This window comes from Homo sapiens, chromosome 5 (assembly GCF_000001405.40).
Source record: "Homo sapiens chromosome 5, GRCh38.p14 Primary Assembly".
Classification (NCBI taxonomy): domain Eukaryota; kingdom Metazoa; phylum Chordata; class Mammalia; order Primates; family Hominidae; genus Homo; species Homo sapiens.
Window position 1 is genome coordinate 55,262,987 of NC_000005.10, and position 16,500 is coordinate 55,279,486.

Below are 16,500 nucleotides of genomic sequence, written 5' to 3' on the forward strand. Positions count from 1 at the left end.
AAATAACATTGTAGTTTATATTACTGCTTCCTATAAAAATTGACAGGATGCTAATGATTATTTGGCTAACGATAGCCCAAATTACCTTAGGGAAAAAAAAAAGATACTGGAAAGTCAAGAATTAGAATCAGCTATTCTCCTCACCCAAAGACTTCAGGTGCCTCAAAACATAAGAATGTCTAAAATTTGAGAGCCAGAAAAATGTGTCTGAACACATTTTCATTCACTACATCTACTTCCATAGTAGCTCTCCTTTTTCTCTGGAGATTTTTACTCAATGAGGATGGTCAGCATTGAGAAAGAATTGACAGAAATCTTGATCCTAGATTGCAAGTACCTTCTTTATTTGTTTCTGGAAATCTCATCTTAATTTCTTAAAGAACTTTGAAAGAATTTATTAATGGCAACTTCATTTAATCTAAAATTGTTGCCTAAAATGTTTTTCTATGTTTAATATGTGCTGATCAGCAAAACTAGCACAGGAAGGGTGGGCATTTTTCAAAGTACACAGGATACAAGCAATTAAAAGGTGATGTTTACCTTTAGGATATCCTTTATGTTTTAAGTTTGGGGCTTAAGGGACTTTGATTCTAGGAGAGAAAAGACCAAACAGACAGCTGCCATAACACCACAGGGTTGGTGAAGACATCTAAAACTTTGTAGTCTCAGGGAGGTGAAGAAAAGGCTCACAGAAGAAGGGGTGGAAAGCAATTTGAAGATAAAGGAAAAGGGGCTAAATTGAAGAAATAGCCCCCTCTGGGCCAGCTGACTGGGATTTCTACATGTTCCCAGTCAGTTGGCCAGAGGGGGCTATTTCTTCAATTTAGCCCTTCATGTGCTTCGAGAAGGACAAAGTTCATTCCACTTAGAGAAGTCTCTGCTGTCATCCTAGCAGTTTTTTTTAATCACAAAAAAGCAGTGTGTCAAATATGGGAAAAAAACCTTTTTACTTTTTAAAATATGAGTATATAAAGGGGAATTATGTGAGAGATACATTATTTTCTGAATACTTTTATAGCATATCTGGGCCAAGTGAGGTGGCTCACACCTGTAATCCTAGCACTTTGGGAGACTGAGATGGGAGGATCGCTTGAGACCAGGAATTCAAAACCAGCCTGGCCAACACAGTGAGACCCCATCTATTTAAAAAAAAAACTTTTATAGCATATCGTATTAAACATCACTTCCTTTTAAATAAGTATCAATAAAAAAACAAAAAGACAGTATTTGTGGGGGAGCCCTGCTTTTCACATTCACCTGTCTTTACATTTTAACTACACTTCTACTCTCTCTCTTCCCAGAAATAAATCTACTCCTGAATGGCAACCTGAGTAATGGGCTAAACCATCTGGTTTCCGTTCCTAAGAACAGACTGATAAAGTTGATCACAACCAGCCACTAAGTATGATGCTTTGAATGCCTTTTCATAACTAGCCATCCCAGGCTGTAGCTAAATAGCTGGCCAATATTTAGGGACATATAATAGAATTTCCTGAAAAGGAATCAGAGCTCTTTGGAAACATGACTGATTCCAAGCCTGGAGCATAAAATACACTAGAGAAGTCTTCCGTACGAAAAGCAAGGAAGCCATCAAAGATTGCTAAGATTATATGAAAAGGACTCAGCAGCCAACCCAAAGGGGCTCTCACTTCCCAAAGAGGGGACAATTTGAGTATTAAAAAATTAACATCTGTAGAGAACTAAAACACATCAAATATATTTAAATCATTAAGTTCATAACAATTTTTTAAAAAAACAAGATTCACTGATTACTTGTGGAGATGCTTAGGAATCAACTCATTATGAAAACTGCTAGGTAGAAGGAAACAAGCATTTATCCTAATTTTCTTGTATAGACTGTACCTCAGGGTATTCAAATATTGATAAGGAAAAAGTAATTCTTCATGAAATAATTCTAGCTAACAAGTAGAATTATAATACCATCATTTGCAACCCTAATGAAACAATAGGTCCGAGTGTTATCAATGGCTGCTAAAAGCATTGCATGAAAAGCCAGTGGGAAATTTTGTAATGGATGAATCTAGCTGGCCCCATTGATATATCTTAATGTTACAAAAAGGGAGATGACTCTGAAAAAAAGAAAAAAGAAAAAAAAAAAAACAAAGATGAAGCTGAATTGGATTACTCTCTCAATATAACACCCATTTATAAGAAATACAGGACATAGAAGAATATGTTAAATAATACCACAAGGATACAATCAACCATATCCAGACTCTAATGAAACAATAGGTCTGAGTGTTATCAATGGCTGCTAACAGCATTACATGAAAAGCCAGTGGGGAATTTTGTAATGGATGAACCTAGCTGACCCCATTGATATATCTTAATGTTACAAAAAGGGAGATGACTCTGAAAAAAAGAAAAAAGAAAAAAAAAAAACAAAGATGAACCTGAATTGGATTAAACTCTCAATATACCACCCCTTTATAAGAAATACAGGACACAGAAGAATATGTTAAATAATACCGCAAGGATACAATCAGCCATATCCAGAATGCAGGAAACTCTACAGGACAATGTATCTGGTTTCTTCAAAAAATAAATGGCAAATAGGAAAAAACTGAGAAAGTGGTAACTATAGGTTAAGAGACTTTATTAAAAAACATATGAACCAAATTTAAAGTGTGGGCCTTGTTTGGATCATCCTTTGAACTAGCTGTAAAAAAAAAAAAAAAGCCAGTAATGAGGTAACTGAGGATACTTAAACACTGTCTGTATCTTTGATGGTATTAAGGAATTGAGTATTTTTAGGTGTGATAATGTTTTAAAAAAATCTGATACCTTGGATATGCTTCAAAATCTAGGGGGCAGATAGTAGAATAAAAGGAGTACAAGTAGATTGACCACAGGTTGGTAATTATGAAAGTGGGAAATGGGTGAAAGTTCATTATGTCCATATAATTTGATGTGTGTTTGAAATTTTTCGTAATTAAATAACCACATTTCAGAGTTGAGAAATGTAGATTCTCTCCTTTCAACTTTTTTTTTTTTTCCTTTTCTTTTTTTTGAGACGGAGTCTCGTTCTGTCACCCAGATTGGAGTGCAGTGGTGCGATCTTGGCTCATTGCAACCTCTGCCTCCCGGGTGCAAGCAATTCTCTGCCTCAGCCTCCCGAGTATTTGGGATTACAGGTGCCCGCCATCACACCTGGCTCATTTTTGTATTTTTAGTAGAGATGGGGTTTCACCATCTTGGCCAGGCTGGTCTTGAACTCCTGACCTCATGATCCACCCGCCTCGGCCTCCCAAAGTGCTAGATTACAGGCATGAGCCACTGCGCCCAGTCCTTGTGTTGTTTTTGTTTTTTTTTTTTTTTTGAGACGGAGTTTTGCTCTTGTTGCCCAGGCTGGAGTACAATGGCGTGATCTTGGCTCACCACAACCTCCATCTCCTCGGTTCAAGTGATTCTTGTGCCTCAGCCTCCCGAGTAGCTGGGATTACAGGCATGCGCCACCACACCTGGCTAATTTTGTATTTTTAGTAGAGACGGGGTTTCTCCATGTTGGTCAGGCTGGTCTCAAACTCCCAACCTCAGGTGATTTTTTTTTTTTTTTAATGAAAAACTGAGACTTCTAATTCCCAAGATAGTGTTTATGAAATTGTGTTGCATCTTTTTTCTTTTCTTTCTTTTTTAAAAGAGATAGGGTCTCACTCTGTACATAGTGGTACAATTGTAACTCACTGCAACCTTGAACTCCTGGGCTCAAGCAATCCTCCCACCTTGGTCTCCTGAGTAGCTGGGACTACAGGCGTGTGCTACCATGCCCATTTAATTTTTTTATTTTTGGTAGAGACGCAGTCTCACTATGTGCCCAGGCTGGTCTCAAACTCCTGGCCTGAAGCCATCTTACTGCTTCAGCCTCCCAAAGCACTGGGATTACAGGAATGAGCCAGTCTTTTTAATTATTTCTTGAACATATTATGATTATTAAATACTATTTTAAATCACTGTGTAATACGTACAAGTTACTTGCTGGAAGAAAGAAGTACAATCACAAATGTACTAATTCAACAAATGTTTACTAAGCCCTTACTATGTGACAAGTATTTTCCTAGGCATTCTTTTTTCCAGAATAACTTATTATAGTTACCCATGACTCTGAGTGAGAGATCCATATTAAGAATTACCTCTAGGGTTAACAGTGATGTTCTATTAAGAAAGTTCCTCCGGCAGTATGTGATTTCAGAACGATAACCTCCTTCTTGTCGTGCTTTCTTCCATCTAGATAAATAAAATGTCAATTAATGAATAAAGTTCACCATGTTCTCTTTCCAAACTCTTTTTCAGAGCTAGTAACCAAAGTAAGATTTAATTAAATTATAATTTTAAAAGGGGAGGGATCTTGCTTGTAGCAGCTACCAATTGTATATAAGAATATTATTAACAGATCTGTTTACAGCATTGACAGATATTTTCCATTTATGTTTAACAGTAAATTATTAAGTTACTTCAAATATGAGTTAATATACATATAATACCAAATATATTATTATTAAGTTTTAGGAAGGATTATAAAACACATGAATCTCTAACATAATTATACCTTGACAGATGAAATAACTAAAAATAAATTTAAACCTCAGAAGTACAATTTTAATAAGTCAAAGGTAATATATTTTAAAGTAAATAACCTCAGGTAATTGGCTTACTGATAACAGCCAGATTATGTTTTTACCCTAGATATGCATTGTAGATCGTCAGGTGGTCTGAATCCGCCATGGCCAAAGCTGATTTTGCAAGATCTGCTTCATCTTTTCGACCAATTGGTGTGGTAAAAGGAGACTTCTCTGTCATAACTGCAGCTAGTGTTGCCTATCCATAAATCATAAATGACAAAACAATTTATCATTAAAGAGCAATACAGTGAAAGTTAACTTATAAAAGAAAGCAAATCATAAAACAATCACACTTTAAGTTGCCTGTTTATTTTCAATATTTTATTATGTTTATTAGTATTATTATACTAATTAATGTTTAATATAAAATATTCTATAGCTAACTTATATTTTCATTTTAAACAGTTATTTTTTGTTTCATTTTAAGGAATTTCAAAAATAAATCCTTTTATAACCTTTCTGTGAGGTAAGGAGGCAATTATCACCACAATCAGAGAAAAAAATCTGAACATTTATATAAATGATTTACAGTCTGTCATACAGTTAGAGGCAATCTGGGAATCCTAACTCAGTTATCTTGGCCTCAAGACCACTGAATTTCCACTCTTAGTCTGCCGTGATCTTTAAAAATAATTTGGACTACATAACAATCCATTTGTTGTTGTAGGTTTTCAGATAAACTATCATGGAAGAGGTTATTTTTTGAACTTGGCAAAATTCCAGTGAATATCTATTTCAAATACCAAACAAAGAGAGACTATAGTAATAAGTCACATTTTCTTCATTCTGTTTTTATTTTTATTTTTGGGTTTTTTAGAGACAGAGTCTTGTTCTGTTGCCCAGGCTGGGGTGCAGTGGCCCAATCATAGCTCACTGCCCCCTCCTACTCCGGGGCTCTAGCAATCCTCCCACCTCAGCCTCCTGAATAGCTGGGTCTACAGGGGTGCACCACCATGCCCGGCCAATTTTTTAATCTTAATTTTTTTGCAGAATCAGGGTCTCACTATGTTGCCCAGGCTTCCATTCTGTATTTAAATAGCCTTTATTGGTAATCCCAGAAAAGGCCATAGCTTGATAAAGTTGTAAAGCTTTGTGCCCAGAGACTCAGACAGATTTGAATTTGTTAATTCTGACATAATTTGAGAAAAGAGAACTCTGCTAATTATTGGCTCAGAGAGAGAGGACAAAAAAGGAAAGAAAAAAAGTTTTTAATTTTACTTTTCAAAGCTGGTAGTGTTCAAAGCTTCCTAAGAATCATCCACTACATATTCCATTAAATATTTCAAGTGGGTTGAAAACAAAAGTTTAGACAAGCCAAAATCACTCACAAAATAGTACTTACAGAACACTTCAGTAATGGATGAACAGATTTTCAAGTATATAAATATAAAAAGTTAAATATTATATTAAAAAATTCTTATCCAACCTGGCCAACATGGTGAAACCCCATCTCTACTAAAAATACAAAAATTAGCCAGGTGTGGTGGCACGTGCCTGTAATCCCAGCTACTTGGGAGACTGAGGCATGAATTACTTGAACCCCGGAGGCAGAGGTTGCAGTGAGCCTAGATTGCACCATTGCTCCCCAGCCTGGGCAACAGTGCCAGACCCTGTCTCAAAAAAAAAAAAAAAAAAAAATTCAAGCATTCAGGCCCTCTCGGTTTTAATGTTCGTATAGACATTCTATTTAGTTAAAAAAATTTTTACTTAACAATTGTTTCCAAACTTGTAATTTCCTGGTCAAAGGATATTTAAAGTAAAGAAGCAGCAGCATTGTTTGACTTACCACTGGGTCAAGGCAGCCAAATATGGCACCAAAAATAAGCATCTTGCCAATCTTGACATTCACAGGTAAAGCTGCAAGGTGTTGGCCCAACGGAGTCAGTTTAGGCTCATTTAATTCACAAGCTCCAATTTTTCGGAGCAAATTCATTGCATTGCTGATCACTTGGAGCTGAGGAGGATCTAAGGCTTTGGAGAGGAAATCTTCAGGAGAACCAAGATTACATTTCTGCAGATTAAAAAAGCAATAAAATTGGTATGAAATCAAAGAATGAACACTACCCAATGAGATGTTAGTGGAACTAAATTTGACTTCAGTAAAATTTTGAGCAAAGAGGGTAAAATGTGAAAGTAGGGCTATCCTGTTATTTTTTTTATAATGGGGGTAGAGGAGTTGGGGGGAAGAGTGTATGAGTGTATGTGTGTGTTTGGGTGGGGAGGGAATAAGGATTAGATTTTCCAGTCCACATTTTTAGTTTCTTCATTCCTGATTTTGATAGGAGTCAAAAATCTAAGAACTGAAGGATATTATAGATCTTTCAGTCTAAGAAGACCTTTGTTTAAGTCAGGGTTTCTCAGTCTCAGTACTACTGATATTTTGGGCTGGATAATTCTTTGTTTTAGGGAGCTGCCCTGTACACTGTCAGATGTTTAGGAGTATCCCAGATCTCTACCTACTAGATACCATTTACCCTCCCTGTCCAATTATGACAACCAAAAATATCTCCTGACATTGCCCAATGTCCCCTGGTAGGCAACAGTGCCCCCAGTTGAGAACTACTAGTCTAGATTATGAGGCTGTATTTTAATCTATAAAGTGTAAGTGTCTGGCAAAATCAAAACACAGTGGATTTACTTATAATAAGATGGATAAGGGCATATATTAAAGAAGAGTAAAAAAGTTGAAAATCTAAAGCAATATAAGGTAAGTTTAGGTGTTCATTTTTTTTCTTTTCTAGAAAGGGGCGAAGGACAAAATCCATCCGAGTTCCCTTGAGATTACCATAATATGAAGGCATAATTCCTCCAAAGGTACACGTAAGATTTCAGGAACAGAATAATCCATAAAGCCTTCAAATCTGAAAAATAAAGTAATACTAAATACATATTATCAGAAATGTCACACAATACTGGTTTATGTGTTTTACATTTCCAGTGCTATGCCATACCTTTCTCTTGTGTACATTCGGAAACAGAAGCCATCTCTGACCCGCCCAGCTCTTCCCTGGCGCTGCAAAGCACTGGCTTTACTGACAAACGTCTCCACCAAAGAACTCATCTGACTGCTTTCATGGTACCTAAAGAAATGTTTTAGGAGAGAATATGTAGATAATTGACTTAAGTCAAAATTGGAAAAAGCTGGATTTGACTCTTACAACTAAGTTAAACACAGGCTTAAAAAATCCATTATTGTGGACCAATAGTTCTCAAATTATGCTTCATATTTAAATAATTTAGTAAACATTGCATACTAAATATACTACAAATTAAAAGTCTGGCAAAAGAAAAAAATTATTTAACTTATCCTTTCTCATACTAATCTGATCACAGAATCTTTTTTAAATTTAGTAGAATACCTATTAATTATGTGACGATAATTTTTGAAATATTTTGAGAAGTGTTACTGTGAACATTACAATTCAACATACCTTTCACGATACAGTTAAACCCTGAAAACATTTTCTCTAGAGGTACAATTCAAAGAATCAAGAATCTACTTTTTATTGAATGGTGGTACTCTCTTGCAAATATTGCTATGGTTTCCTAAAACAGGGGTAGTGTATCTAGATTATAGTAAATTACTAAAGGTGGTCTGTCCTATTTATTCAATATAAACATTATTTATACAGTAGTAATCTTTTTGTTGAAAATTCAGTTACAGTTACCTATTAGGTTCCAGTTACTGAACTAGGCACTTTCAGTTATGAAATTTTCATTTTGGCTGGGCGAGGTGGCTCACGCCTGTAATCCCAGCACTTTGGAAGGCCGAGGCAGGCAGATTGCCTGAGGTCAGGAGTTCGAGACCAGCCTGGCCAACATAGTGAAACCCTGTCTCTACTAAAAATACAAAAACATTAGCCGAGTGTGGTGGCATGTGCCTGTAATCCCAGCTACTCAGAAGGCTGAGGCAGGGGAACTGCTTGAACCAGGGAGGTGGAGGCTGCAGTGAGACTGTGCCACTGCACTCTAGCCTGGGTATCACAGCAAGACTCCGTCTCAAAAATAAAATAAAAGAAATTTTCATTTTACCCATTTACAAATGAAGAAACTGATTAGAGAGGTTATATGTTACATTACTTGCTCAAGAGATTTAAATTCAGCTCTTACTCCAAAAGCCATGTTTCTTTTTTAAATAATCACAAAGAATGCTTTTTGTTAAACAATTTATTTTACAAATAAAATATCTATAAAAATTTATGTTCTGAAAATTTTTCTCAGCACTTTTCTAAAAGTAGCAGTATACTGGTATTACTTATGGGAAAACCCATGAAATGAAATTCTGACATTTACTCTCAGATATTTTAAAGTTTCCTATAGTTTCTCTAAGGCTTTTGCTTTGGACAGAACTAGGACATTTAGGATTTTCCCTAAATAATTTTAGGATTTCTCCCAAGAATTCAAGAGCCCCAACCTCTTTCCAGGTTAAAAATGTTTTGATTTGGGAAATTTAAACTTACTTATTTTCTTTTGTTCTTCCAGTATCAATTACAAATACAACATCAGGAATAGTGATACCCGTCTCTGCAATATTGGTTGCTAAAACAATCTGAAAATAAACAAAAAGCTTAAAACATTTAGACTACTTTCATGAATGTATCATTATTTAAATTTCTTTAGTTTGAGCTGATGAAATTTAAAAACTGAATTTCAATTTCAGTCACAAAAATTTACAATCTATTTGCTATTACTGTGTAATTTTAATTTACTCTAGTTTTGTCAGCTTAGCTTACTAATTAGACTAAATCTAAAATACAGATTTTTATTCCAACAAAAATACCACTCCCCTAATTCTAGTCAATCTCTTAAAAATGATATAAGTAGGGCTGGGTGCGGTGGCTCACGCCTGTAATCCCAGCACTTTGGGAGGCCGAGGCGGGAGGATCATCTGTGGTCAAGAGTTTGAGACCAGCCTGACCAACATGGCAAAATCCTGTCTCTACTAAAAATACAAAAATTAGCCAGGCTTTGTGGCAGGTGCCTGTAATCCCAGCTACTCAGGAGGCTGAGGCAGCAGAATCGCTTGAACCCAGGAGGCGGAGGTTGCAGTGAGCCGAGATTGTGCCACTGCACTCCAGCCTGGGCAACAAGGCTGGAGTGTTGTTTTGAAACTCGGTCTCAAAACAAAAAAACATAAGTAGAATGGGGAACTGGGTAGAGAATGGAGACAGCTTAGCACAACCCTTCACTATTATTAGGAAAAAAAAATCACATTAATGAGAACTAGGTTGTTGTCCTGGCTCTGTTACTTATTAGCTTTGTGACCTACCCAATGGTTTATGTACAATAAAAATCATCAGAGAAGATCTGCCTAGAGAACAACAAGAATACTCCCAGGATTTAAATATCCAATCTCCTTTGTGATGCCTTCTTGGGAAAAAGTTGTGACTTTTTTTCCTCAACAGGCAACATCCATACTATGTTTTTCAACTAGCACTCCCTCAATGAAGTCTTCTCCCTTAAATAGCACATAATGTAAATATTCAAATGCTTGAATTGTAACATTGGGTTCACTTCTGATGATGGCAAGGTGCAGAACACTTGGAGTTGGCAATGCGCTATAAGGCACTTAATGTTAACAACTGTCTTTGATGATAAAAAGTTATACGGCCATCATAAAATACTCTCAGGTGGATCACATATAAATTTGCTGTACTAAATTTTACCTTCCTGACTCCTGGAGGGGGAAGTGTGAATGCTGCAGCTTGATCTTGGGTTGAAAGAATAGAATGCAGAGCTATCACTTTATATCTGAAAGTTAAAATCATAGTTCTTAGCAAGAGTTTCTCTTTAGAAGACACTGCAAAGAATAACAAAATTTATTTGCATATAGCAAGCAACTTTAAGATTTTTTACTATGAAAAAATTTAAACATACACAAGTGTTTACAGAATTGTACAATGAAACCTCATATACATGCATCACAAAGAATATAAACAAATTATGCGAATAGGATTAAATTTTTTTAATGTTCTTTCTAATGTTGAAGTGGTTTATATGGTTTACTACAGTAGTAATAAACTCTATCAAAACATATAGTAAACAGCTGATTAAATATATATGGATGATAAACTGCAGCTTGGTTGGAGTTTTGCACGATTTAGCGGGTTGGCAGGAGTCACCATCTTACTTTTTAACCACAGGATTCCCTCTGCTTAATCTTAAGAAGATGAAGGCTGGCCAAGTGCGGTGGCTCAGGCCTGTAATCCCAGCACTTTGGGAGGCTGAGATGGGCAGATCATCTAAGGTCAGGAGTTTGAGACCGGCCTGGTCAACATGGTAAAACCCCATCTCTACTAAAAATATAAAAATTAGCTGGGCGTGGTGGCATGCGGCTGTAGTCCCAGCTACTTGGGGAGGTTGAGGCAGGAGAATCACTTGAACCCGGAGGCAGAGGTTGCAGTAAGCTGAGATTGCGCTATCGCACTCCAGCCTGGCCGACAGAGCAAGACTCTGCCTCAAAAAAAAAAAAAAAAAAAGATGAAGGCTACAGGCAGTGGCTCACGCCTGTAATCCTGGCACTTTGGTAGGCCATGGTGAGAAGTTCCCTTTAGCCCAAGAGTTTGAGGCCAGCCTGGGCAACAGGGGGAGACCTTGTCTCTATGAAAAAAATTTTTTAAATTAGCTGGGCGTAGTGGTGCACAACTTGTGGTCCCAGCTGCTCAGGAGGCTGAGGTGGGAGGATTGTTTGAGCCCAGGAGTTTGAGGCTAAAGGTGCAATCGTGCCACTACACTCCATCCTGGGCAACAGAGAGAGAATCTGTCTCAAAAATAAAATAAAATGGAATAAATGCAGAATATAGTACCTAAAAATTTTTAGTAGATAACATGTTATAATGGAAGTGTTTAAAGAAAAAAATCTTACTTCCCCATAGGTAATTTTAACCCATGGTGAAAAGACTTTGAAAACTCTGATCAAGGGTTTTAATGTACCAAATATTTTCCTATTTTAAAACTACCAGGAATATAATGAAGATGAGTAGTTACCGTTCAGAATAAAATCTTCTATCATTTGATAGAAGATCATACAACTGCTGAATATGAGCAAGTCCTGGTAAAAAGATCAATACTGCTCCTTCAATATTTCTGAATTGGGGACTTTTATCTGAAATTTTTAAAAAGATACAATATTCAAAATAAGAAGATAAGGAACAGCATATAAAATATTAATAAAACATCTCCAGCTAGTAGAAATGTTTTATCAAATCAAATGGAGACCCATTAGAAATAGAAATATACCTAAGTATGCAAGAAGTTCCAAAATGAGATCCAGGTTGATTTTATGAGGATTCATGTATAGAATAGCATGCTGAGTGCGGCTGCTGTACTTTTGGTAAAATGGATTTAAATCAGCATGTGCTCCAGTCTGAACTGGGATGTATTCCTAAAAGAAATCCAACCAGAGGGAGGTGAATAAAAATATTAAGTATTTTTGTAAGACAAAGAAGGAAAAAAGGCGGTATTTGCATTCATTCAAATCTATATTTTTCTCATTGTCACCATTACTATTTTGTTAAAATACAGGAAGCGTATACTTTTTAATAGTGGTGAGAGTATCAGAAAATATCATCTCTGTCCTATAATTTAATGTCATCCAGCCCTTAGGTATAGCAAAACCTTTTTATCTTGGCATATACATACTAAAAGAATTGTAGAAAAACATACTGTAATCATGTATGCATCATTCTGTGGCAACTAAAAAGCAGCCAGGCCAAGAGAGGTCATAACGTTAGTAAGTAGTTTGTACCTGGCTCATTCCTTCTACATTCTACTTTGGCTCCTGGATTCCAATCATCTCTTTTGAAATAACTATATTCTAAAGTCTTTCTTTAGTTTGTAATTTTTACCTCTGGGGTTTTAGGGCAAGATTTTAATTTTTGCTTTAAAAATTTAATTTTTGTCTATCTGCTTAATTAAAATATAAAGATAACTTTGTTTTCATCAAATTGGAAACATGCATGAAATATCATGGCTATGACAAAAATGCTGGATCTAGTACTACTGGCTAAAATGCAGGATAACATTGTTTTTGTGATATTTCTGAAAACATGTCATTGAGACTAACTTCCCAGGAAGAACTATGCCCTAGACAGCTTCACTATGTATGTATGTATGTATGTATGTATGTATGTATGTATGTATGTATGTGTGTGTGTCTGTCTGTCTATCTATCTATCTATCACTATCTACCTATCACCATCTTGCCTCTGCCCTGCTCCTGCCAGGACAGAGGCTAAGAAAACCAATGGCAAGGATCTAGATTTGGGACTTGCCCTATCCTGAGCACCTATGGTGTTGAGAGAAGTAGAGAAAAATCACTACTAATGTACTCCTCAATAACTGATCACTGTTATAAAAAGAAGTTGCTTCTAATTTGTATGGTCCTTGATTTTGTATGCGTACCTAAGATGGCCCAGAATAGTCTAAGAGGACAATCAAAGTATCACAAATCAAAGACTACAGTCTATGAAATAAAGATTAAAGAAATGACCTTTAAAATTTGTTCATTCTCAGATCTGTTCCTCATCTATCAAATTATACTCAAATTCACTGTGTTAACCACATGATTTTGAAACTCTTGTGGCAGGTTAGGCCCTGGATATCATTATCTGATATCTTTCAAAATATTTTCTTTTTACCTGATATTTTTTTATTCCCCCTGCTTTGCTTGTAACATTAATGGTTACTTCTTCTTCCTCTTCCAGAAATTTCTGACAATATTCTGAGTCTTTTTCCAGTACAAAGCCTGTTTCTTCTATTATATCTTCAAGATGAAAAACCTGCATAGAATAAGGCATATAAATGGGTGAATTCAAATTCGTTTCAGTAAATATCATTTTAAAGAGAACAGGGGACACCACCTTTTGAATGTCACCAAATGTTAATTTAGAATATTATGAAAAAAAATTTTTAGTATTATTTGGGAATGAAGACTTGGTTGACATAGAGGGATTGCCTCTAAAGTCTCAGGACAAATTACATTATGAGATATATTTATATATACACATATAATGTGAAACAGTTAAGAATAGATTGTATCAGCTGAACTGAAAAGGTAAGAATCAAGAATGGAATATGTAGAAAGGAAGCTTCAAAGACAACCCTAAATTTGAGGGGTGGGTGAAAAAGGAGTTCCTTATTGCCAGGTAGCCACTCTTTTTATTTTTTTTTCCCATAGCCATCAGATGACCAGGGAAGGGCAGCAACTCTTAATCTGAATATAATGATTTTCACGTGAAAATAGGTTTATGTTCTTTAGCCCTCACTGCTGTCTTGAGTCAATACCCTCCTTTCTCTCCTATCCAGCCTCAGGCAAGGCAGTAACAGTCATCTGATTCTTAAGGCTGTGTCCAGCTCCTCTGCTGACTCACTGTACCTAGGAATAGTTCTGGCCTCTGACTACAAGTGCCCATCTTCTAGGGAAAGAACCTGGTGGGAATGCAGTTTCTGCTTATACACACATTATAAAGAAAACTTACCTCAACAGGATAACTTCTTCCTGAAATTCTGAGAATGGGGCAGTGTGTGAAATATGTAGAAAATTTTTCGCTGTCCACAGTGGCACTCATTAGAATCAAGTGTAGATCAGAACGTTTCTGTAAAATTTCCTTCAAGATAATTAGTAGGAAGTCTGACTGGACACTTCTTTCATGAACCTAGTTTTAAAAAGGGAATAAAAAAGTTCATCATATATTGTATAAATTCTAGTAAGAGGCTTGAACAATCAGACACCCAGATTTACTAAAAGTTATTCAATATCTAAGTACAGTCAGTACATGTGCGGGGAGGGAGAAGCTGTAAGTTTTAAATAAGACAGATCTTCAGAACTGAAAATAAAGTCATTCTCTAAAATTGGAAGTCACTGAAAATCATATAGTGAACTAGATTAGCCATGACAGCATGACTCTACCCTAGGAGACGGTTTGCAAATCAGATCAGATGTAGCTGATAAGGCTGGGTGCAACCCTAAGTTTGAGGGGTGCATGAAAAAGGAGTTCCTTATTGCCAGTAGCTCATACTTGTAATCCTAGCACTTTAGGAGGCCGACGCGGGCGGATAACCTGACATCGGGAGTTTGAGACCAGCCTGGCCAACATGACGAAACCCTGTCTCTACTAAAAATACAAAAATTAGCCGGGTATGGTGGTGTGCACCTGTAATCCCAGCTACCCGGGAGGCTGAGGCAGGAGAATCACTTGAACCGAGGAGACAGAGTTTGCAGTGAGCCAAGATCACACCACTGCATTCCAGCCTGGGCGACAGAGTAAGACTCTATCTCAAAAAAAAAAAAAAAAAAAAAAGATGTAAGGTATATCCCAAATTTCACTTAGAAGCAAGAGTGACTCCTAAATCTCTGCCACTAATATAAAACTATACTGTCACCATTACAAGACAGATGGTTTATCTACTAGGTAGAAAAAGAGGCATTAACTAGCAGGAATCCGACAGAATCTCTATCACTGTCAGAAAAAAGGGTTTTATGCTCTTCCAACACATGCATCTTAGGGAAGAGCACGGATGAGGTATACTGTCAGAACTTTAGTATCTGTGGACTGTATGAGTCTGTCTTCCAACTTTCTGTACTGTGACTTATTTCTACTCTATTTTATAACAGATTTAAGGTAGCACAAAAGGATAAAGTGTATCAAGATAACAAAACAGGTTTTATCATTCATTTGTTTGGAAGGGAGGCAGTAGGGGTTAAGTGTTCAGACTCTGAAATCAATTGCTAGGGTCCAATTCTTGGCCACTTACAGTGTGACTTAGGAAAAGTCATTTAAATATTCTGGGTCTATTTCTTCTATAAAAGGAGAATACAAATAATGCAAATTTCACAGAGTTGTGACAATCAAATGAGATAATGCAAAGCCCTTAGAACAAAGCCCAACAATAAGTACTCAGCATTGTGCTAGATGCTGGAGTTTAAAAAGCAACCAAGAGAGTTCTCTTCCTTTGAGTTTTCAGTGCAGTAAGAAGATACTGTATAGGATGGTTTGAAATTATATTTGAAGCATAGCTAATCCAGATGGTCAAGAAGGCTACTAAGACAAATGCCACTGATGCTGAGGACTGAGGAATGAGTATGAAAAGAAAAAGAGAAGGAAGAAACGGGATGAAAAAAGGAGAAAAAAGCCGTCATGTCAAGGTACACAGTGTGTATGAATTCATGGTAGAAAGAAGGATCATACTAACTTTCAGAAACCGGAGAAACAAAAACAATGACTTGAGCATGGGATGGGGAATGGGTCAGAAATAAAGCTGGTAAGATACTCAATAAACTGCCCTGTAAGGCCTTGTCAGCTGTGTTAAGGAGTTGTGATTTTATCCCAATGAGTCAGGAAGAGCAGTGATTAATGCATTTTAAAGCAGAGGAATCATGTGGTCTGAGTTTTATTTTAAAAAGGATAATCCTGGCTACAATGTGGAAAATGTGGTGGAGGAGAGCAAAATAAAGCAGGAAGTTTAATTCATTAGAGACTTTTGTAGTAGTTAAAGAAATAATCGTGGCCTCTCCAAGGGTAACGCCAGTGAATACGGAGAAAAGTAAATGTACTTGAGAAAGGCAAAATAAAAGGACTATATGACTGGATTCAGGGGATGTGGGAGAAAGAAGGAAAAATCTTAAAGACACTTTTACTTTGGTGGTTTGACCAGGTGACTGGGGATCATTCAGAGACTGAGAAGAGATGAGAAGGGGCAAGTTATAAAAGATGAACAGGGAGGAAAGATGTTGAGTAGTGGAACTGCTGAGTTTGGAGTTCTGGAGACGGTATCTAGACGGTAGCTAGATATTTAAGTCTGATGCTCAGAAAGGAAATCTAATGGATGGCATAGATCTGGAAAATTTCATAAAATAGAT

At 36.5% G+C, this 16,500-nt stretch overlaps 1 protein-coding gene and 1 long non-coding RNA gene across 7 annotated transcripts in view; one reads left to right on the plus strand and one right to left on the minus strand.

Moving 5' to 3' along the window:
• Window positions 1-16,500, plus strand: part of CCNO-DT (CCNO divergent transcript) — a 61,409-nt gene that overhangs the window by 29,093 nt on the left and 15,816 nt on the right. The window lies entirely within an intron of this gene.
• DHX29 (DExH-box helicase 29) overlaps window positions 1-16,500 on the minus strand; it is a 51,640-nt gene that overhangs the window by 6,932 nt on the left and 28,208 nt on the right. For 4 of the 6 annotated variants that reach the window (NR_144323.2, NM_001345964.2, NM_019030.4 and 1 more), the window contains exons 13-23: window positions 14,120-14,296; window positions 13,280-13,420; window positions 11,880-12,024; window positions 11,628-11,745; window positions 10,307-10,391; window positions 9,101-9,189; window positions 7,592-7,720; window positions 7,426-7,501; window positions 6,427-6,651; window positions 4,700-4,836; window positions 4,152-4,245 (exon numbers count right to left, since the gene is read on the minus strand). Coding sequence is in view for 3 of the 6 variants with exons in the window: in NM_001345964.2 (NP_001332893.1) it covers window positions 4,152-4,245; window positions 4,700-4,836; window positions 6,427-6,651; window positions 7,426-7,501; window positions 7,592-7,720; window positions 9,101-9,189; window positions 10,307-10,391; window positions 11,628-11,745; window positions 11,880-12,024; window positions 13,280-13,420; window positions 14,120-14,296 (1,416 nt within the window). In the remaining 3 variants the exon portion in view is untranslated. Of the gene's footprint in view, window positions 1-4,151; window positions 4,246-4,699; window positions 4,837-6,426; window positions 6,652-7,425; window positions 7,502-7,591; window positions 7,721-9,100; window positions 9,190-10,306; window positions 10,441-11,627; window positions 11,746-11,879; window positions 12,025-13,279; window positions 13,421-14,119; window positions 14,297-16,500 lie in introns of all 6 variants that reach the window. The other 2 variants (NR_144325.2, NR_144324.2) reach the window with 1 other exon arrangement.